The sequence below is a fragment of the Homo sapiens genome, chromosome 1 (assembly GCF_000001405.40).
Source record: "Homo sapiens chromosome 1, GRCh38.p14 Primary Assembly".
NCBI lineage: Eukaryota > Metazoa > Chordata > Mammalia > Primates > Hominidae > Homo > Homo sapiens.
In genome coordinates, this window is record NC_000001.11 from 204,547,812 (window position 1) to 204,570,787 (window position 22,976).

The 22,976-nt window shown below is 44.1% G+C and overlaps 1 protein-coding gene, 1 long non-coding RNA gene and 1 pseudogene across 16 annotated transcripts in view, besides 1 other annotated feature; 2 read left to right on the forward strand and 1 right to left on the reverse strand.

Annotated features, from left to right (window-relative positions):
• MDM4 (MDM4 regulator of p53) overlaps window positions 1-10,309 on the forward strand; it is a 41,715-nt gene extending 31,406 nt beyond the window's left edge. For 13 of the 14 annotated variants that reach the window (XM_024447114.2, XM_047420951.1, NM_002393.5 and 10 more), the window contains one exon: window positions 1,302-10,309. In XM_024447114.2, coding sequence (XP_024302882.1) covers window positions 1,302-1,871 — 570 coding nt within the window. In that variant the 3' untranslated portion in view covers window positions 1,872-10,309. The remainder of the gene's footprint in view (window positions 1-1,301) is intronic. The other variant, NM_001204172.2, reaches the window with a different exon arrangement.
• On the reverse strand, window positions 14,602-14,710 carry RNA5SP74 (RNA, 5S ribosomal pseudogene 74; annotated as a pseudogene).
• The window catches only part of LRRN2-AS1 (LRRN2 antisense RNA 1), a 65,547-nt gene continuing 58,930 nt past the window's right edge, over window positions 16,360-22,976 (forward strand). The window contains exons 1-2 of one of the 2 annotated variants that reach the window (XR_007066814.1): window positions 16,360-17,475; window positions 22,849-22,935. This is a non-coding gene — a long non-coding RNA (LRRN2 antisense RNA 1). Of the gene's footprint in view, window positions 17,476-20,054; window positions 20,098-22,848; window positions 22,936-22,976 lie in introns of those variants that run through there. The other variant, XR_007066815.1, reaches the window with a different exon arrangement.
• Window positions 18,016-18,105: a silencer, noted in NCBI's record as "silent region_1729". NCBI's record gives its function as "represses an Ori minimal core promoter by ATAC-STARR-seq in GM12878 lymphoblastoid cells {active_cell/tissue: GM12878}" and the evidence as "EXISTENCE:reporter gene assay evidence [ECO:0000049][PMID:35858748]".

The window sequence follows — 22,976 nt, forward strand, 5'->3', positions numbered from 1 at the left end:
CTCCCGGCTTCGAGCGATTCTCCTGCCTCAGTCTCCCAAGTAGCTGAGATTACAGACATGTGCCACCATGCCCAGCTAATTTTGTATTTTTAGTAGAGACGAGGATCTCCATGTTGGTCAGGCTGGTCTTGAACTTCTGATCTCAGGTGATCCGCCCGCCTCAGCCTCCCACAGTGCTGGGATTACAGGCGTGAGCCACCACTCCCGGCCATGTTTCCATCTTAATCAGACTTCTGTGGCTACTTGGGTGCAGAAAACCTATTAAGCAAATGGACTGTATTTCATCATATCAAAGATGCCATTGAATTTAATAAGCCCTATTATTTTATGTCCTACTAAGAAAAAGTGATGCCAATTAAACTGTGGCACACCATCACTCATGAATTCCAAATCTTTATGAAGTTCCTTTGATTATTTGTATAGCATTTTAAATGAGATTGGAAGATCTTAGACTGGCAAGAGTGTTTTGAGGCCATCTGGAATCCCAGTTTAACACATGGTTGTGCCCTTGCCTCAGTCTGGACAATTGAGTTATGACTTCTAGACTTGAAGTGCTTGGCCTTTGACCTAAAAGTAATCAAGTTCAGCTTATGTCAAATCAAATCCTGTCAAAGCCAGTTAACCGCATTAAATATTCTTTCTTGTTCCCTGTAGCTATTTTTGAATTAAGCAAAGCATTTAAAATTCATTGAGATCTAGTGTCTCCTAATTTGAATATGGAGAAGTAGGGAAAAATTACTTGGCATTCAAGGACAATAACATTTATTTTTCAGAGGGCATGATTTAGGCATACAGTTACACCTATAATTCTGGGTGCAATGAGAGTGCATGAGTAAATTTAGTCGTTTTCAAATCTCATTTGTTTTAGCTTTCTTTTTTGCCAAACTTTATAACATTTGCTATTAGTGTAGAAAAGAATGACAGAGTATTCTCTTCATTCTTCAGCCTCTTGCCCGATAAAGGAGTAAGTTGTGCAAAGAAAAATAACTCCAAAGAAGCCCATAAGGTACAGCAAACAATGTAAATTTCACCGAGATGAGGTAGAAAGCCACCTTTCTTAAAGCCACTTTCTTAAAGATAACTATATCAGATTTTGGCTTGAAAATAGCAGTTGTGGCACTATCAGTGTAAACCTTCCAAAGACTTTCCTTCATGTGGCTGTAGAATTTGCTCAAATCCTAGGCTAGATCACTGGTGTGGAATAGCTTAGTGAGAGGATGTGAATGAATTTGACCTCCTTTCCTTTTTCTCAGCATCATATTAACCCCCTGAGTATTAATTGGCTTCACTTGTCTTTGTAGGATGAGTGGCAGTGTACTGAATGCAAGAAATTTAACTCTCCAAGCAAGAGGTACTGTTTTCGTTGTTGGGCCTTGAGGAAGGATTGGTATTCAGATTGTTCAAAGTTAACCCATTCTCTCTCCACGTCTGATATCACTGCCATACCTGAAAAGGAAAATGAAGGAAATGATGTCCCTGATTGTCGAAGAACCATTTCGGCTCCTGTCGTTAGACCTAAAGATGCGTATATAAAGAAAGAAAACTCCAAACTTTTTGATCCCTGCAACTCAGTGGAATTCTTGGATTTGGCTCACAGTTCTGAAAGCCAAGAGACCATCTCAAGCATGGGAGAACAGTTAGATAACCTTTCTGAACAGAGAACAGATACAGAAAACATGGAGGATTGCCAGAATCTCTTGAAGCCATGTAGCTTATGTGAGAAAAGACCACGAGACGGGAACATTATTCATGGAAGGACGGGCCATCTTGTCACTTGTTTTCACTGTGCCAGAAGACTAAAGAAGGCTGGGGCTTCATGCCCTATTTGCAAGAAAGAGATTCAGCTGGTTATTAAGGTTTTTATAGCATAATGGTAGTACGAACATAAAAATGCATTTATTCCGTTCACTTACCACATTATTTGAAAATCAATCCTTTATTTAATTTTATTTCCAACCTGTCAGAGAATGTTCTTAGGCATCAAAATCCAAGGTAGCTGTAAGAAAAATACTGGAGCTAACAATGAAGAACAGAAGTAATCTGATTAGTCAAATTATTAAGTGCCATGGATTACTTTATGCAGCAGTCAGGTACATAGTTAGGTGAACCCAAAAGAAAAACTCTTGAAAACAAGAGATTTCTTCCATGCACATTTACAATATTGAGGTATAATTAACATGATAAAGTGTTTCCTTCTAACGAGTTGTAGAAATCTGAGTAACCACCCAAAAAAGCAATAGAATGTTTCTGTCACCCCAAAACACTCCCTTCTGCCCCTCTTCAGACAGTCCTTCAGCTATTTCATGGCTCTCACCCTAGTTTTTTTTTTTTTTGCACTTTTTTTTTTCCGGGGGTATAGGGGAGGTGTGGGGCGACAGGGTCTGTCTTGTTCTGTCTCCCAGGCTGAAGTGCAGTGCAGTGGTATGATCATGGCTCACTGCAGCCTTGGTTTCCTGGGCATAAGTGGTCTTCCCACTTCAGCCTCCTGAGTAGCTGAGACTATAGACTAGCATAACCACACTGGCTAATTTTTTGTGGAGATGAAGTCTCACTATGTTGCCCAGGCTGGTCTCGAACTCCTGGGCTCAAACAATCCTCCCGCCTCAGCCTTCCAAATTGCTGGGATTATAGTCATGAGGCACCTAGTCTGGCCCTTTTGCAAGACTTTAATCTGAAATCTAAATTTTTAAAATTTAAGTACTTACAAAGGATATACTATCCAACATATTGCATATTATATATGTGCTTTAAAGTTTTTTTTTTTTTTTGAGAGACGGTCTCACTTTGTCATCCAAGCTGGAGTGCAGTGGTGCAAACACGGCCCACCTCCTGGGCTCAAGTGATCCTCCAGCCTCAGCTTCCCTCACAGGCATTCACTATCACTCCCAGCTAATTAAAATAATTTGTAGACGGTGTCTCGTTATGTTGCCCAGGCTGGTCTCGAACTCCTGGGTTTAAGTGATTCCCCCGCCTCAGCCTCCCAAAGTGTTGGGCTTACAGCCTTGAGCCACTATGCTTGGCTCAAAGATATTTTTATGAAAGCCCTGGGACTATAGATTTAGCTGATTAAATTTATAGAAAAAGTCCTGTCATATAAACTGGCAAAGTCTGTTCTTAATTTAATTAGCCAAATCAGACTTAACTTCCGTCAGAACATGTCTTGGTTTTAATTCAGATAAACACACAAACATACTTCTCTGGCACAGCCTTCAGAAGCATCAGTTTTTGTTTTGTTTTGTTTTGTTTTTTGAGACAGGGTCTTGCTCTGTCGCCCAGGCTGGAGTGCACTGGCACAATCACAGTTCACTGCAGCCTCGACCTCCCAGATCCAAGCAATCCTCCCACCTAAGCCTCCCAAGTAGCTGGGTCTATAGGCGCGTGCCACCACCATGCCCAGCTGAATTTTGTATTTTTTGTACAGACAGCATTTTGCCATGTTGCCCAGGCTGGTCCCAAACTTCTAGCCTCAAGCAACCCTCCTGCCTCAGCCTCTCAAAGTGCTAGGATTGCAGTCCTGAGCTACTGCCCCCTACCCTCTTTGCGTCTTAGGAGTCATTTAGATTTTTTTTGATCCTTTTGTTTAGTGCCTCTGGAGCTGCTTACACCAAGGCAATACGCCTTGATATACTGGATGGTTGAGAGGCAGCCTCTTTTTTTTTTTTTTTTTTTTTTTTTTTTTGGAGGATAGGGAGTATGGCTGTTGTGAAAAGGGAGGTAAAGAGAAATGGTAGATCTGAAGAGGCCTCATCAGAGCACATATTTTAGGACAACACATATGGAAATTGGACATCTTTAAGTTGGTTTCCATAGAGCTATGCATGTATCCTTACCCCCATGGGAAAATGTTGGTGTGTTCTCAAGGGTATGCATGTGTCATTTTGAAGACCAAGGCCCTAGAATTGTCAAACTTAAGGATCATAAAAATCATGAGGGTTGCTTGTTAAAAATGTCCAAACGTGCAGAGACTGATCTTTGAGATCTGGACCAGGAATTTGCATTTGAACAAGTGTTCCTGGAATCTCTATGCAAGTTTTATACAGAACATACTTTTGGAATCCTTGCCCTAGACAGGGGTGTCCAATCTTTTGGCTTCCCTGGTCCACAATGGAAGAAGAATTGTCTTGGACCACACATAAAATACACTAACACTAACAATAGCTGATGAGCTAAAAAAAAAAAAAAAAAAAATCGTGGACCGGGCGTAGTGGCTCACGCCTGTAATCCCAACACTTTGGGAGATCACCTAGGTCGGGAGTTTGAGACCAGCCTGACCGACATGGAGAAACCCCATTTTTACTAAAAATACAAAAAATTAGCTGGGCATGGTGGTGCATGCCTGTAGTCCCAGCTACTCAGGAGGCTGAGGCAGGAGAATCGCTTGAACCTGAGAGGGGGAGATTGCGGTGAGCTGAGATTGCGCCATTGCACCCCAGCCTGGGCAACAATAGCGAAACTGTCTCAGAAAAAAGAAAAAAAAAATCGCAAAAAGAAAAATCTCATAATGTCGTTGTTGGTTTTTTTTTTTTTTTTTGAGACAGTCTCACTCTGTTGCCCAGGCTGGAGTGCAATGGCATGATCTCTGCTCACCGCAACCTCTGCCTCCCGGGTTCAGGTGATTCTCCTGCCTCAGCCTCCCAGATAGCTGGGACTACAGGCACATACCACCATGCCTGGCTAATTTTTGTATTTTTAGTAGAGATGGGGGTTTCACTGTGTTGGCCAGGCTGGTCTCGAACTCCTGACCTCATGATCCACACACCTCGGCCTCCCAAAGTCCTGCGATTACAGGCGTGAGCTACCGCACCCAGCCAAGTTGTAATTTTTAATAAAACTTAAGAAGTAAACATTTTACTTATGTTTATAGGTATTTGATCCTAAATTTGACACATCATTGCCCATGAAAGAATCCTCTTAGGCTGCTCAGCTTCACTCTTCCTGCTTGCCCACCGGGGTTTTTCACTGCTTCTGTTAGCACTAAGTACTTAGACGATCCTAAGATATGTGCTTGAGCCGAATTTCATCTTTACTTGTAGGAAACTTTAAACTATTTCTTTTCTTTTCTTTTTTTTTTTTTTTTACTTGAGATGGAGTTTTGCTCTTGTCGCCCAGGCTGGAGTGCAGTGGAGTGATCTCGGCTCACTGCAACCTCTGCCTCCCGGGTTCAAATGATTCTCCTGCCTCAGCCTCCCAAGTAGCTGGGATTACAGGTGTGCACCACCATGTCTGGCTAATTTTGTATTTTTAGTAGAGATGGTTTCACCATGTTGGTCAGGCTGGTCTCGAACTCCTGACCTCAGGTCATCCACCCACCTCAGCCTCGCAAAGTGCTGAGATTACAGGCATGAGCCACAGCGCCCAGCTTAAACTATTTTCTTGGTCTGTTTTTGATTTTCTTTTTTCCTTGCCACTGCGGTACAGATTTTTTTTACTCACTGCCACTAAACTAAAGCAAGGCATAGTTTATATGTGAAGTGTTCAGAGTTTACTGCTATAAGGAAACTTCCAAATACTGACATTTACCTTTTAGCTGTAGTTATTGGGACCATGTGCTCTGGTTTTCTGGAGACTGCCAAATTGCTCCCATTTTTCTGCATCCCACCTGGTTTCTTTCTGCATGTCCCCTTTCACTTTCAAACCTCTTCATTTGGATGTTAAATTATATGGTCACCTAGTTATAGGTAAGCCTTGTTCGAGTTGATATCTTGATTGTGAGGAAGGATCTGTGTCATTGGAGCTTGTTTCTGCTGCAACGTGCTGTAGACTATGAATAATGAAATCACACCACATTACCATCAGATTTCTTGTTTTAGTTGTCAAATTAATATTTATGATTGTTATCTTGGGCGAAAAGTTCAGAGCAGAGATGACAAATCATTAGAACAACGATGAATTTCAGTATTACGGCTAAAAAGTTCTTCTGTCTGAATATTAACTCACTCTCCTTCCAGTGTACTTCACAGTAATTGGTATGCTTTTTTATTTAATGCTTAAATCAAACTTTATAAAAATCTTAGACCAGATCTTTAATATGGTATGCCATTTCCCCAGTCTACCAATGGAATAGTATGGGTTTCTAATCCTAGGCTTGTACAATGGATTGGAGTTGAGCCATGCCAGCCTCCACACTGCCACTAACTTCTGTAATGTAAGATTGAGTCACTGCCAAGCATTTGAAATATGCAGTTGTGTTTTAATTATAATTTATGTATAGTTAGATGTATGTAGTGCATTGTGTGGTATTATTTGGTTTGTAAGAATTTATTTTTAAGGGTCAAGGTCATTTGTAACATTTTGTGTGTGTCAATTCAATGCAATGTTGGCTGCCTTTTGAAGTCTTTGATATATTGGTGAATATTCTTCTGATCTATAATACAAAGCTATGTAATGTTACCTCTTGACTCGCTTTTGAAAGGAAGACAATTGTTAACTAGATATTTGAGTTTTTTCCCCTCAGAATTATGTGAATTTCTGATATATGGCTTTAGATACTGTGAATCTGTTTTCCATTTAGTCAGTTATCTGCTTAAATTGTTCAGAACTATATCCTAACGAGCAATTAGTTCTGATGGTTCTCCCAGTCATGAGTGTGCATGTGTGCAAGCATGTTTTGATCCTGATGCTACCTTTGCTAAAAATGGCCATAGATTAGGAACTAGCTATGTTTTTAGAATCAAAGATGAACCGGTAAGCTGTCTCATGTACCAAACGTGAAATTTACAGTGTTTACAAATGTCTGGAATTTTGCACTGCCATAGGGAATGTTAAGGTTACTTGGCTGGAATTTATCAGACTTGTGAGTAAACAAGTTGAAGTTTAGCAGATGAGGGGGAATATTGAGGCCCCTAAGGCTAAACAAAATAATCAGTATCTGAGATAGTGGCTAATGTGGCTCCCCAGGCCTAATTTGGGAACAGTTTTTCCTGATTGCTTTGAGAAGTACTTTCTTTTGACAGAAATTTTCATTCTGCTTGCCATTGCTATATTCTCCCTTTATAGGAGCCATTGGATTTCTTTCCTTTTGTGGGAAATGTCCCATTAGCATTTTCAGATCTTTTGATGTGCACTAATGCCATTATTGGTAATGCCGTTATTGGTGAATACAGCATAGTTAAATAAACTGTTACAGTAAATCTACACTTGGATTTGCTGCACCTCTACCAATAGCCTTTTGAATGACTGAAAGTGTTAACAGAGAAAGAGGCATGTCTGCAGAAAGAGATAGCTAATATTTTTTGGTACTTTATCTGAAATCCAAGATGCTGCTTCCCCTGCAGGTTGTTTTCCTTCTTACGATCCTCATTGAATCCCCTCTGGGAGCACAGGACAGTTAGTAGAACTCTCCATTTCTTTTTTTTTTTTTTTAGACGGAGTCTCTCTCTGTCGCCCCGGCTGGAGTGCAGTGGCGCGATCTCGGCTCACTGCAACCTCCGCCTCCCGGGTTCACCCCATTCTCCTGCCTCAGCCTCCCTAGTAGCTGGGACTATAGGCGCCCGCCACCACGCCTGGCTAATTTTTGTATTTTTATTGGAGACGGGGTTTCACCGTCTTAGCCAGGATGGTCTTGATCTCCTGACCTCGTGATCTGCCCACCTCAGCCTCCCAAAGTACTGGGATTACAGGCGTGAGCCACCGCGCCCGGCCGGAACTCTCCATTTCTTAAGGTAAAGAGGGTCAAGGATACCTAAAAAGGGTCAAATAATGCTAGAAGAGCAATTCCTCTTTCAGAGCAGTTGCTGTAATTTGGCAAATGCTTTATCGAAGATTGATATTAGGCTAGGGGCGGTGGCTTACGCCTGTAATCCCAGCACTTTGGGAGGCCGAGGTGGGTGGATTGCCTGAGCTCAGGAGTTCGAGACCAGTCTGACCAGTATGGTGAAACCCTGTCTCTACTAAAAATACAAAAATTAGCCGGTCGTGGTGGCGTGCACCTGTAGTCCCAGCTACTTGGCAGGTTGAGACAGGAGAATCGCTTGAACCTGGGAGGTGGAGGTTGCAGTGAGCCGAGACTGCACCACTGCGCTCCCACCTGGGTGACAGAGACTCTGTCTCAAAAAAAAGGACATTTATCATTATAACATCTTATTAGAGCCCCTAATTTCTTATCTGAAGGCACTGTTTTTTTTTTTAAACAGTTAAGTACTGATGTCAACAGACAAATATTTCTGATCAGATAGTCCCCTGTCAACAGTAGCAAATGTGGTTTCATAAAGTGGGAAGAAAACAGCATTTTAAAGTAACTTTTTGGGAGACTGATTTGAGTAATAATAAAACTCTGGTCTCCCTTAAGAAAAAAAAACCCTTCCACCTTTACTGTGTCATTTATATCCCCTTAGTTCCAAAGTTAATTATCTTATTTCTGGATATTGCTTTTATACCAAAGACCCTTATCAGCCCTTGTAACTACAGTATCTTTAGATAAGATTCCTCTTTCCAGTCAGTCCTGGGAAATGTTTCTGTTGCAGAGTTAGGCGGTAGATGGGAAGCTGTGATGGCAGAGCTACTATCTAATAAAGTAACAACTCGTAGTTGAGGCTTCCTTTCTGTGTGTGATGGGGGATAGGGAGTTAGCTCCCCTGTTGTCTCAGCACTAAGAAATTGAGGTCAGGCCAGGCGCGGTGGTTCACTCCTGTTATTCCAGCACTGGGGTGGCCAAAGTGGGCAGATTGCTTGCGCTCTGGAGCTCGAGACCAGCCTGGGCAACATGGTGAAACCCTGTCTCTACCAAAAATACAAAAAAAAAGCTGGGCATGGTGGGTGCATGCTTGTCCCAGCTACTGAGGAGGCTGAGGTGGGAGGATCGCTTGAGCCTGGGAGGTGGAGGTTGCAGTGAGCTGAGATGGCACCACTGCAATCCAAGGTGGGTGACAGAGACGCTGTCTCAAAGAAATTGAGGTCAGGCTTCCTTCTTACAGAATTATTTTTTTCTCTGTAGTTTGCCTCATTTTTTCACTTTCTTTTCAATGAGAATCGAAGTGTTTCTTTTGGGTTTTTTTTTCCCCCTTTTAAAATCAACAGGAAATGTTTCAAAGGAGGGATGAAATGCTTCTTGGCTTCCTCAGCACTTGGCAAGGTAGACCTCATAGCAACCTTGAATATGACTTTCTTTAGTCTCTAGCTATGCACTATTAAGTGCCTCTTGGGTAGAGGTAGAGTTAAGTATTGAGTGCCAGTCTTGACGTCCGTATGCCTCAGTTTTTCTCATATATAAAAAGCAGTATACATACCTACCCTTTTCTACCTCATCATTTGTTGTAGGGATTAAATCCGGGAGAGCAATTCTGAAGCCTATAAATTTCCTTGAAGAGATCTAAGAACCTATTATGCTCTTGGTGTACCAAGCTCTGGGGTATATATTCAGAATACCTCATGTTCTGGAAGCTGAGCACTAGCTCCCCTTTATTGCCTGCCTGGCAGAGCCTGTTTGATTACTGCAGGCCCTTTTACCCATGCTTCTAGTTTAGGTATTCTTTCTTTGATATGAGGCTCTTGACCAGAAAAGAGTTCTTTCTCTAGGTGTTCTGAGAGAAGTTTGTAAATTTGGATAGTACATTCTATCCTGATAAAACCACCTTGCTGTGGTCTTGATGTACAAAAAAAAATTTTTTTTTTGAGACAGAGTCTTACTCTGTCACCCAGGCTGGAATGCAGTGGCGCAATCTTGGTTCACTGCAACCCCCGCCTCCTGGGTTCAAGCGATCCTCCTGCCTCAACCTCTCAAGTAGCTGGGACTACAGGCGTGCACCACCACACCTGGCTAATTTTGTATTTTTAGTAGAGACAGGGTTTCACCATGTTGGCCAGGCTGGTCTTGAACTCCTGACCTCAGGCGATCTGCCCGCCTTGGCCTCCCAAAGTACTGGGATTACAGGCGTGAGCAACTGCTCCTGGCCCAAAACATCTCTTTCTACATACACTTGAGTAGGTGGCATAAAATGCACTGTCAATATATAGAAAACATGAAATTTTCCAAATATTTCCGATCAGAGAATCACAAGAGCAGCAAATGTGGTTTCATCAAGTGGGAAGAAAGCAGCAATTTAAAATAACTTTTTGGGAGACTGAATTGAGTAATAATAAAACTTCAGTCTTTCGCTAATAATAATAATAATAATAATAATAACAACAACTTATTGAATGTGGCCAGCTCACTAGATGAGGAAAGAGGAAGGCATTTTCTGCATTCTTGCCTAGTTTTCCTTATAAGCACCACTAAGTTAATAGCTCTGTCTTTTTGGTGTTTGCACTATGTAATGCTTTTAATACTTTTTAATTGTGCTTTTTTATGTATTAAATGTTTTTCCTTTTGCCATTGTGTGTTGTCATTATTTTTGAAATAGGTAATTTTGTGTGTATACAGTTAAATCTCATTGCTATTGGATCTTTTGGTCTGATAGACCAAAGATACAACAGAAAATTACTTCTGTTACTTCTTTGGGGAAATTAATGGACTTAAAATCAGCAGCATTGGATATTTTCCCCCAGTTACCTTTTAGAGCAATTGCTATATTTTATTTTCAGGGTCCCAATCCTGAAGAAATCCATCAAATTTTACAGAGTATTTTCTAACATTGAGCTCGTTGTGGTTTTGAATTGGGGCTAGTACGAGAGGTACTGAGGGTTTGTCACACCATATGCATTAATCAGTTGGTATGCCTAGCATCTGCTAGGGTCTCTAATGGCGGTTCTTAAACTTTGGGGATTATAGTCCTCCTTGAAAAGCTAATGAACCTCATGAAACCTCTTCTTATAAGTAGCACAATATTAAACATCAATTTCAGGGCTTCATTGAAACCACTGATCCATGACCCTCAGGTTCTGTTCTTTGGCAGGATGCCAAAGAAGAGTGAATGGCCCACAAAGAGCCTGGTAGCACATACGCTTTTCAAAAGGTCATGCACTTACAGCTAAAGCCATTAAGGTGAGTGAAACATCTGGCTAGTTGTCCTGAGCTTGGGTAGGGGCAGGATTACCATATAGTTGGTGCAGATTGCTGTGAACTGTATAACTCTTGGGGCACTGTTCATAGGCTGCCATATAAATGATCCTTTAGAGATGTGTAATATATATCTGAGGAGGCCTTGGGGGTGGGGTGGGGTGATAATGGACATACCATCGTAACTTTTTTTTTTGATACAGGGTCTTGTTCTGTCACCCAGGCTGAAGTGCAGTGGCGAGAGGTTCACGGCAGCCTTGACCTCCTGGCTGAAGCGATCCAGCCATCTCAGCCCCCCGAGTAGCTGAGACCACAGGCATGTACACCACGTCTGGCTGAATTTTTTGTGTTTTTGAAGAGATGGCGTTTTGCCATGTTGCCCAGGCTGGTCTTGAACTCCTGGGCCCAAGTAATCACCCACCTCAGCCTCCCAAAGTGCTGGGTTTACAGGCAGGAGCCACCATACTGGGCACCCAGGGTAACACTTTTTAAATGAAAACAAAACAAGGAGCATTAGAAACAAAAATGGGGCCAGCTTCTTTGTCTACTTAAGCCTTTCACATTTTGTATGTGACCTGTATAAGGTACTCTAATGCAATTTCAATGGCATAACGTGTTTCCTGGGGTTTTCCATCCTGCTCACCTTGAGTTCCTGGTGCTGTAGATGTATCATTTTTGTTGAATGTATTCTTGATACTAGAAGAAGAAGGCAAGCTGAAACTGGTAACTAAGCTTACAGAGTATTGCAGTTTTTTTTGGAAATAGGGTCTCGCTTTGTCCCCCCAGGCTGGAGTGCAGTGATGCAATCACAACTCACCACAGCCTCAGCCTTTAAGGCTCAAGTGATCGTCCTCCTCAGCCTCCTGAGTAGTTGGGACCACAAGCTCATGCCACTACACCTGGCTAATTTAAAATATTTTTTTTGTGAGGAGGTGTGGTCTTACTGTGTTGCTCATGTTTGTCTAGAACTCCTGGGCTCAAGCGATCCTCCTAGCTCAGCCTCCCAAAATGTTGCTTTTGCCTGGCACAATTGTTAGTAGGTAAATTTCACATCACTGTTTGTTTTGAGGGTTTGGGGGTTTTTTGTTTGTTTTTGGTGGAGTTACACAAGTCCATCATATAAAGGTATGAAAAGAGTTATTGCTATTAGGAAAAATTCAAGTCATTATAGGTTTGGGCATACAGGGTTAACCTTGTGATGTACATCCCCAGCCCTGAATTTATTTGATTAATCCTCTTTAAAATAAAGGATTACATTCAATCAATTTGTTAAAAACTTCAGCCGAATTAAATTTAGAGGAGTTTAATAGAGCAATGAACGATTCACGAATTGGGCAGTCTCCAGAATCACAGCAGATTCAGAGAGACTCCAGGGATGCCTCATGGTCAGAACAAATTTATAGACAAAAAGAGGGAAGTGACGTAAATAAATAGGCAGTGAAGTACAGAAACAGCTGGCTGGATTGGTTACAGGTGGGCGTTTGCCTTATTTGAACACAGTTTGAACACTCAGCAGTGTATGAGTGGTTGAAGTATGGCTGCTGGGATTGGCCAAGACTCAGCTATTGTTACAGGCACATACTCGTAAATTAGGTTTTCAATCTTGTCTGCCTATTAAGCTAGGTTACAGTTCATCCACAGGGACTCAAATATGTAAGTATGGAGTCCTTCTCAGGCCATATTTGGTTTGCTTTAACAAATAAATACTTATTAAATGTTAATATGAGCCAGAGACTGGTTGATACTGAGAATACAACAGTAAGGAAGCTGCTCTCAAGTTGCCTATGGCCAGACAATGGAGTTAGATACTTAAGACGGTTTCCACATGAGCCAAGGAAACAGTAGCTGAAAGAACTAAAGGAGAGAGAATGGCTTTTGGGGGGAACTCTTAAGTGTTTGTTGTGCCTGGAGCAAATGATGTGCTTGGAAAAGTGATGAGAGATGGTGCTGGAGTGGGAAGGGGCCTGGGTGTTGAAAGTGTGATATGCTAACCTAGTAGGTTTGAATGTTATCCTGAAGGTAGTGGAGAGCTACAAAGGTCTTAAGCAGGAGAGTGACATCATCTCATTGGCATTTTTGAAAGATCCTTCTGGCTGCATTGGTGAGAGTAGACTGGAGTGCTGTTTAGAGCAGGGATAACAGTGAGGCCATGGCAGTAATCTGGGCTGCATTGATACTCCTAAAGTCATGGCAGTGGGCTGGGCAAGAATAGTAATAGATGCATTATTGTAATAGAACACTTAGTAGGTGCTGACTTGACATCTGTTATTCCATGAGGCATTTAAGGCTCAGAGATGTTAAATAGCCTGTCAAAGGCAATTCAGAATTGCAGATAGTCAGTGGTTAAACCCAGTATGTTTGAGACAAAAGCCCAAAAGAAGTGCAAGGATTTGAGAGAAATCAAGGTAGAAGAGACAGACTTCATGACAATGCGTGCACTTTAAACAATGTATGTTTAAAGTGACCATCGTTTTTAGAAAAAAAAAGATGAATAAATGTGGTTTGAGGGAAGCAGGGAGTCAAGGATGACTGGGTAACTGGTAGATGGTGGTGCCATTCGTTGAGATAAAGAATATAGGACCGGGTGTGGTGGCTCACACCTGTAATCCCAGCACTTTGGGAGGCTGAGGTGAGCAGATCACCTGAGGTCAGGAGTTCGAGACCAGTCTGGCCAACATGGTGAAACCCTGTCTCTACTAAAAATACAAAAATTAGCCGGGTGTGGTGGTGCGAGCCTGTAGTTCCAGCTACTCGGGAGACTGAGGCAGGAGACTCGCTTGAACTCAGGGAGGCGGAGGTTGCAGTGAGCCGAGATCATACCACTGCACTCCAGCCTGGGTGACAGACCAAGGGAAAAAAAAAAAAAAAGACAATAGAAGAGTAGGTTTTTGATGATGGTGGTGAGATAGGAAAAAATGATGAGTTTAGTTTTGGTTGTGTTGAGTTTGTGCATATGAGAACATCCAAATGGAAGTGGAGCTTAGGAGACACCTGAGCTGTAAATATTAAGTACGTATCATGTATTTCGTATTGTCTAGGCACTGGGGGATACCGTGATGAAGATGAACATGGTTCCTGTTCTCCTGTCTAGGGAAACTGGTTAAGCATGTAAATATTAGCATAGTGAATGTTTTGTTGTGAGACTACATGCTGCTATGAGAAATACAGAAGGGGGACGTAATGTAGCCAAGAGCTTCTGAACAACCTCCGGGAAGAGATGAGCTGAGATTAAAGGAAGGTTAGGAGTTAGGAGAGGAAGGGAAAAGTGCCGTAGTTAGGAGGAAACATGCCAAGGTCTTGAGGTGAGAAAACAGTGGCATCTGGGAAGAACTAGAAAGTTTAGTGTCGCTGAAAGCATGGACAGAGAGAGATGAGTGAATTGAATTGCCTGGGCATCCTGGGAACGGGAAGACACCCTGATGGCAGGGAACCCGCGCCTGCGCTTTCGGGGTCAGGTCCAGGTCTGCCCCGCCAGGGCTGAAGCCAGCTCCTGGTGGGGCTGCAGTGAGGCGGAAGAGGTGGGATGCTGCTGCCTGGCGGTGCTGCGGCGGCAGACCTCCACGAGGAGGTCCTGGGCTACCGCGGGGTACACAGGCGGGCGGAAAAGGGGGAGCAGAGTCAGGGGGCAGTTGGGAAGCTCGGAGACAAAAGGAGGGAGGGAGCCAAAAAGCCTACAGCACCAGGTATTCCCAGGCGGTCTCCCATCCAAGTACTAACCAGGCCCGACCCTGCTTAGTTTCCGAGATCTGGCGTGTTCAGGGTGGTATGGCCGTAGACACTAATGGTGGTGCCTGGCTGCCTCTTCAAGAGCCCGGCCCAGCCACGCCCGCCCGACTCCAGGCGTCACTGCCACCCCAGGGTCGTGGGGCTCGGACTGGGGACCCCTGAGCTGCTCGCCTGCGGTCGGACTGCTCTCCCCTTCTACGCCCAAGCACCGCCGGTCTGCCCTGCTGCGCCTTCCACCGGCCTCCCAGAGCCTCCAGCCATACAGCAGAGATGGTGGTTGGGATAAGAGTTTGAAGAGAGTGGAGCAGGTCTGGAACAGGTATTCTGGAGAATAGGGGAGAGAACAGAGTAGGAAAATTTCCACAAGGCAATTGCCTGAGACTGTCCAATTTGCAGACCAGGGCTTTTCAGCCTCAGGACTGTTGACATTTTGGATTGAAGAATTCTGTGATGGGGGCTGTCCTGTGTGTTCTAAGATGTTTAGCAGCATTCTTGGCCTCTGCTCCCTAGATGCCAGTAGCACTCCCCTAATTATGACAATAAAAAATGTCCGCAGACATTGGTAAATATTACTTAAGTGGGAGAATGGCCTCTGGTTGAGGACCACTGAGGCCAGCCAATGCGTACTACAGGAGAAACATCACACAACCTGCAGATTGGTGTCACACATTTATGGCCCTGACCTGGCCTCTCAGTTCTATCTGGTTCTTCTGTTTTCCTCATAGGCGAAGTAATGGTTCTAACCTAGAAGACAGAATGAGGTGAAGACAGGCTAACTTCTCTAAGCTCTCAATGACTCACGAGATAATAGATGTCAAGATAGAACCTACTAAGTGTTCAGTAAATGTTATCTATTGTCATTTCCAGGAGGGGGCTGATTGAAACTGAAGAATAGTACAGTAGGAGGAGAGGACCAGGAGCTGAAAAGACAGGTCGCTATGTTGAGAGAGAGAGAGAGGAAGAAAGATCTAATAGGACTTCAAAGGCTGTGGTAGATGTATTACTGTCAAAACCTGCGCAGCTTTTCTCTACCAGGCCTTGGAAAAGATTGCACTTCCTGCACCACTGGCAGCGGGCTGGCCAATGGGATGCAAGTGGAAATGAACTGTGCTATTCTGAGCAGAGGCTTAGGGACCATTGTGTGGGTAAGTCAGTGCTCTTTTTCCTCCACGTGAGGCTAGTGTGTCCCAAAATGGGGGCTGCTCCCTTTGACCTGTCTCCAAGACTGAAGAGAACAGGGACCATAGCTGTACCTATCCTGCGAGGGACAAAGGAACAAGCTTTTGTTAATTCAAGCGATTGAGATTTGGGGGTTTGTTACCACAGTGTAATTTGGCATAAGCTGACTGGCATACGGTGGAGCATCCCAGATGAGGGCAAGCTCCCAGGGCCTAACAGAGTGAGTGGCTGGAGTATGTGAAGGTGAAATTCTTTGACATGAAGTGGTTAAGGTCCCACGAGGCCGTGGTGTTAGATGGGTCATTCATGTGATGTTGTTATCATCCAGGAAGCTGGTAGGAGGTAGGAACCCAAAGTCTGTAATGAACAAGGGAAAGTGTGAGCAAAGTCAGCAGATGACAGCAGTAAAGGAGGAGTAAAGGGGAGTATAGATCTAAATATATATATGTATATGTGTGTGTGTGTGTGTGTGTATGTGTGTGTATATATATGCAGAGATTTGGTATATATATGTGTATATATATATGTGTGTGTATATATATGTGTGTGTGTGTGTATATATATATATGTGTATATATATATATGCAGAGATTTGGAAGTGTGGAAGAATAGGGGTCTGAGTGCAGTACTGGGGAGGCCCCATACCCTATCCTGAAAGCACATGAGGTATGGGAAAGTGACCACCAAGATCCTTTGGAGGGAAAGCCAGGTATCTTTTAAGGCAAAGAAGAGGAGGAAAGAAGAGTTTGCAGATGTAGGCAGGAAGTTGTTTATGAAACAGAGTGATAGGCCGGGTGCGGTGGCTCACACCTGTAATCCCAGCACTTTGGGAGGCCGGAGGTGGGCGGATCACCTGAGGTCAGGAGTTTGAGACCAGCCTGGCCAACATGGTGAAACCCATCTCTACTAAGAATACAAAAATTAGCTGGGCGTGGTGGTGGGCACCTGTAATCCCAGCTACTCAGGAGGCTGAGACTGGAGAATCGCTTGAACCCAGGAGGCGGAGGTTGCAGTGAGTGGAAATCAAGACATTGCACTCCAGCCTGGGCGACAAGAGCAAAACTGTCTCAAAAAGAAAAAAAAAAAGAAAGAAAGAAACAGAATGATAGTGTAGTTGGAGTCAAGAGTTGACTGCTTTGAGAACTTGTCTCCAGAAAAAGGGCATGTACTTGTGCAAAATGTTATATGCAAATTCAAAAAACATTTAGACTTCCTAGAACCATCTGTGGACCCTAGATTAAGAACCCTGATCTGGAACAGTGGCTCTCAAACTTGAGCAAACAGTTTGACAGGTCTGACGGTGTTTGACAGGTTGTTGGGCCTCACCCAGAGGTTTCAGTAACGTAGGTCTGCATGCGGTCCAAGCATTTGCATTTCTATCAAGTTCCCAGGTGATGCTGATGTTTCCGGCCTAGAAACCACATTCTGAGAACCACTGCTGAAGTCTAAGGCTAAGGGGGAAAGGTTTGGGGAGAGGAAGAGGAACAGTGGGAAATGGTTAAGGACAAGATTATGAAAGCATCATGGGGATGAGAATGGATTTTTGTTTTGTTTTACTAGGCTTAGGCAGATACTCCAATATTTCTGACACATACATACACGGAAAACCTTGCAAGAGTGGAGAAAAGAAGGGAGAGGTGAGTGAGCACTTATTTTAAGTTTAGGGCAAGGGGTGCAAAAAAATATCTTTTATAGCCTTAAGGATCACTTTCTTGAACACCCTTACTTTACAACAACAGATGTGATATCAAGTATCACATGGCCAATTCACACCTTTGGTCTGGTAACCAGCTCTTGCCCCCTCTCAGTCTAGGGCTTGTTCCCCTTCATCATTAACCTCTAAGAGAATCACTAGTGGGAAATAAGCTATGCTTTTGATTCAAGGTAAAGAGACTCGAACTTTCCAGTGCCCTAAACTGGGAAATCTTAAACTCCAGCAAAGTACAATGCTCAAAACTGGGTAAAGCTGCTACCTTCGTAGGGGATACATTTTGGAGAAAATTGCATCTACTTTCTTCTTTGTCTTTTCTTTTTGTGTGAGTGTGAGTGTGCATGACAGTTTGTCTATGTTTGAAAACCTGACCATCAGCATTCCTGGAATTCTTGGCAATGAATTAGGATTGCCAGTTAGCTGCCTGCTGGGTGACCTTAGGTAGTTCACCTCGTGTCTCTAAGCCTCAGCTTCCTAATCTGTGAAACAGGCTGATGGACCAGTGAGATAACGCCTGTGAGGTGCTTATCACCTGATACTGCCTCTTCTTGCTGGCACATCAAGCTGGAGGATTGCAGCATCTGAACACGAATGACCAATCAAATCTCGGGCCTATACCCCACAGACGTAACCTTTATCTCCCACCAGAGGGCACCAGTAACCTATAAAAATCTAAGGGGGCGGGCGGTCCCTCTTGCCCTTAACATCGTTGAATCTGCTTGAGTATAACTCCCTTAAGTCTATTGAAATATTCTTACCCCTGGTGTTTTAAGAAATCATTTGAAAAATACCTCTCACACCCAGAAGGAAAATATGGAGTAGAAGTGTAGGGTAAATGGTGCTCCAACTCCCCACCAGCCACCAAGAGAGCTCTATTTCCATTTTGTATTTTGTCCATTTTTACCATTCAGTCTCCATCTCCTCGAGACTATCTGTAACCTAGTTTTACAAATTATTCTCTCAGTAATAACCTATTGCAGTTCCCTTCTTCCTGGTTTATTCAAATGAACTGAACTGCTGTTTTTTTTCCCTTTGATGTACAACCTCCCGCCTCCTAGCCTATCGGGCCAGCCTTCCTTCCAGCAGGCAGTAGGGGGAGGGATCTATTTCTGAGCCTCGGTAGAGCCTCAGAAGCTGTTTCCCTGAATCCCTCTGTGATGAGAGCCTAGTGGTCAACAGGTACCTATCACAAAAGGCTGTATTCCAGGAGAAAACTCTTTCCCCATCTAAGGAAGGGAAACGACTAGAAGTTGAGGCTACCCACCACCACCTCCCTGAAAACATTACAGACTTCAGGGACTCAATGATAACCAATGTGTATCTGTGTCCTGTATACACATAGGGTTTGTTCTTTGTCTTTGTTCTTTAATTTGCTGGGGAAGGAAATACAGCCTCGGGCTAGCTTTCACCATTGCACCTGGGAGTGCTGGCCGAGACAAGAAAAGCCAACAAGAATATTGACTAGAAAAAGGGTATTGGCCAGGCACAGTGGCTCACGCCTGTAATTCCAGCACTTTGGGAGGCTGAGGCAGGCGGATCACCTGAGGTCAGGAGTCTGAGATCAGACCGGCCAACATGGATTTGTACTAAAAATACAAAAAACTAGCCAAGTGTGGTGGTGTGTGCCTATAGTCCCAGCTACTCGAGAGGCTGAGGCAGGAGAGTCGCTTGAAACCAGGAGACAGAGGTTGCAGTGAGCCAAGATCACAGCACTGAACTCCAGCCTGGGTGACAGAGTGAGACCGTGTCTCAAAAAAAAAGGGTATGCTGTTTGTCTTATTAGGAACACAGAACCATGGAATATTCGGGATGACCAGGACTCCGGAAATCTAGTACAACCTTTCATTGTTCAGAGGGGAGAAACATGACCAGGGTCATGTGGTTTGTGAATGGCAGACTAGCTCTTCCAGCTCGAACTAGAATTCAGGTCTGTGGGCAGGCACACCAGTTCCTGTCTCACCATTCCATTTCTGAATCAGCCATCGTTGCTAGCATTTGTTGTTTGCTTAGTATGTGTCAAGTATCTGTTCTTTAAATCTCACACAATCCTCACAACAACTCTGTGAAAGAAATGAATTGGTATAAGAATGAAATACATTATTCTCATTTTACACAGGCATAGAGAAAAATGATGTAGGACAAAATTAGCTAGCATTCTGTTTAAATCAATATTTTCCCATGAGGGTTAGCGGCATTTTGAATGGAATAAGGTTTTGGTTTGTTTTTTAATGGGACTACTCCTAGCATAGCATGATATTTAGCATTTTTGGACCCCAAGCACTAATTGCCCCAGTCATTATAATACAAAAAATTTCCAAAAGTCCTTAAACGTAGACTATAGATGGTCCTGTTGCTGGTGGAGCACTACTGATTTTTTTTTTTTTTTTTTTTTTTACACAGGGTCTCACTCTGTCACCAGGCTGGAGTGCAGTGGCACAATCTAGGCTCACTGCAGCCTCGACCTCCCAGGTTCAAGCAATCCTCCCACCTCAGCCTCCCGGTTAGCTGGGACTATAGCTATGCGCCACCATGTCCCTATGTTGCCCAGGTTGGTCTCGAACTCCTGGGCTCAAGCCATCCACCTACCTCAGCCTCCCAGAGTGCTGGGATTACAGGTGTGAGCCACCATGCCCGGCTGAACACTACTGATTTAAATGCATGGGCACAAGGAAAGGAGTAGTTAACAAAGTTGCTTTGTTAGTTTGGTTATTTTTATATCAATAAAGGCCACAAGATGGAAATAGGAGCAGGACAAGAGGAAGGAAATCCCTTGGGGTGAGTGTGGCTCTGGAAGGGAAGAGGTTAAATTATAAAGGAAGGGAATGAACCATAGGCCAAGGAGGATCCTGGCACATGGCAACTGGTAAAACTTGGAGGATGAACAAGGTCTGGTCTCACAAACTCATAAGCTACAGAGACCAGTGCGATCTCAGAGGAGAGCTGCTGGAATGGGGACAGTAGGGAGTGCAGGAGGTGAGAGTAAACTGGAGATCCATGCCCATAACAATGGGATAACCAACACCCAACTCCGGCCAGGTCTTTTCAGATGGTAGTGTGGGTCGTGGTTGCCAGCCTTTCCAATATACCAAGAAAATCCACAAGGCTAGATTTTTCTAGGAAATCTCTCTGTTGTCAATATTGGATCAAAAGAAAAGTTTTGAAACACTAGGTAGACCCAGAGAAAAATGCTTGCAGGTGAATTTGGGTAGTCCGACTCATGGGATCTCTGAGGGGCCATTCTCATCTAAGGTGCTGTGGTACATGCCCACTCTGCTGGTTGATGAAAGGGAGACAGGTTTCAGCTCACACAAGATGGAATTTACCACCAGTCTATGCTGGCAAACAGTGAGCAGGCTGGGCAGAGGAGTAGTAAGCATTCCCTGGGGCACCGGGCTCCGCACAGGCCAGGAGCTGTCACAGGAGCTAAAGCAGGGATTCCTGTGCCATCTCCGGTCCCTTCTGGATCTGAGATTCAGGAATTCTGGGGCTGTGATTCCTTGAAGGCAGAGCCGGGAACATGAAAACCGTAGACACTAATCAATGCCTGTAGTGCTAACAGCTCAGACCCCTGGGCAATTGTTCTTGAGCTTGGTCCTGTCATTCCCTCTGCTGTGTAGGAATGAGGAAAAGAAGTCGCGTGAGTCCCTGCTCCCTAGAGGTCTTTGCCTTGGTTCATAATACTGACAGTTTGCAAAATCAAGCTGCTTTTATTCTCTCTCAGCCAGTGAGTCCCTGACACAAACTGCAGAGCTAAACAAGCAATTTTCCAGCCCAGCTGTTCAGGCACACTCTGAGTTTAAACGCACTCTTCTTTAAAAACCACCAGGAGCTGTATCCTCCCCCATGCTTGTTTCCTCTCCTGTTAACCCAGCAGAAAGTAGGTTCTACAAGGTAGCAGTGCTTAACATGCTGGTGCCTGCAGATCCTCCACTGGACGCTACCCTCCTTCCCCTGTGGAGTGATGACGGGATGCCCCACTTGTTTAGAATGAAACCCCAAACTCCAGTGTGTGTGCGTTCTCTGTTCTTTCCAGGTGGGGCCTGCCTGGGCTTCTCGCTGTCTGGTGGAGCCCCACTATGCCTTTAAAAGCAGGGCCTTTGATCATTTCTGACTTTTAGCAGCAGATAGTCAAATGAGGGGGAGGTGGCAGGGCTTTGCCAACCAGACCCCTGATGTGGACGAGTTGAAAACCCAGGCTGCAAATGTTAATATTGTCACATGCTAGGAAATCTCTGCTTCAATTCACCAGATACTAGTTAGTCATTGGCTTGTGAAGTCTGTAATCCCTCTCGTTTCTGGCTTTGCTTACAACCCTGCACCCTGGGTGCTGGAGCAGACTCTCAGGAAGGGAGATGGTGCCAAGCCCTGTTCCTGTCTTTCTTGGTCTGCATGCCAGCTTAGGCCAGGTTTTTATTGAGCTTCAGGATCGGATCTTCGTTATAGGCGGGGAGGACAGTGTAGGTAAAGCCTACTGACAAGTGCCTTAGACCCCTTGCACTGCCATAAAAAATATCTTAGCCTGGGTAACTCATAAACATCTTTTTTTCTTTTCTTTTTTTGAGACAGGGTCTCACTCTGTTGCCCATGCTGGAGTACAGTAGCACAATCTCCACTCATTGCAACATCCACTTCCCGGGCTCAAGCAATTCTCGTGCTTCAGCCTCCCTAGTAACTGGGATTACAGGTGTGCACCACCACACTCAGCTAATTTTTGTATTTTTAGTAGAGATGGGGCTTCACCATGTTGGCCAGTCTGTTCTCAAACTCCTGACCTCAAGTGATCCACCTGCCTTGGCCTCCCAAAGTGCTGGGATTACAGGCATGAGTCACCGTGCCTGGCCTCATAAATATCTTTATGAGTTGTTTATTGCTCACAATTCTAGAGGCTGGGAAGTCCAAGATCAAGGTGCTGGCAGATTCGGTGTCTGGTGAGAGCCCATTCTTTATGGGTGGTGCTCTCTATGTGTCCTCACGTGGCAGAAGGGCAAACAGCTTTCCTCTAGCCTCTTTTATAAAGGCACTTGTCCCATTCATGAGGGCTCTGCTTTCATGATCTCATCATCTCCCAGAGTCCCCACCTCTTAATACTATCACCTCGGGAATTAAGTTTCAACATATGAATTTTGGGGAGACACCAGTGTTCAGACCATAGCACAAGCCATGCAGCACAATAGACAGAATGCATGTGGAGGCTAACACCAGAGAAGGTCATTTTTGGGGTTTACTCCATCTGGACCACCCTCTGGCATCCCCAGGGTCAGTCTGTAAGTTGTAATTTTCTTATCTCTTTTCTATTCAGCCTCGGTGTCTGGATGCCCAGCCTAACCAAGTCAGCTTCCCATCTTTGGCTGAGACAAGGAGAACCCTGCTGGGCTAGGGGACCCAGGTAATGTTGCTCAGGCATTGTCCTTTTTTTTTTTTTTTTTT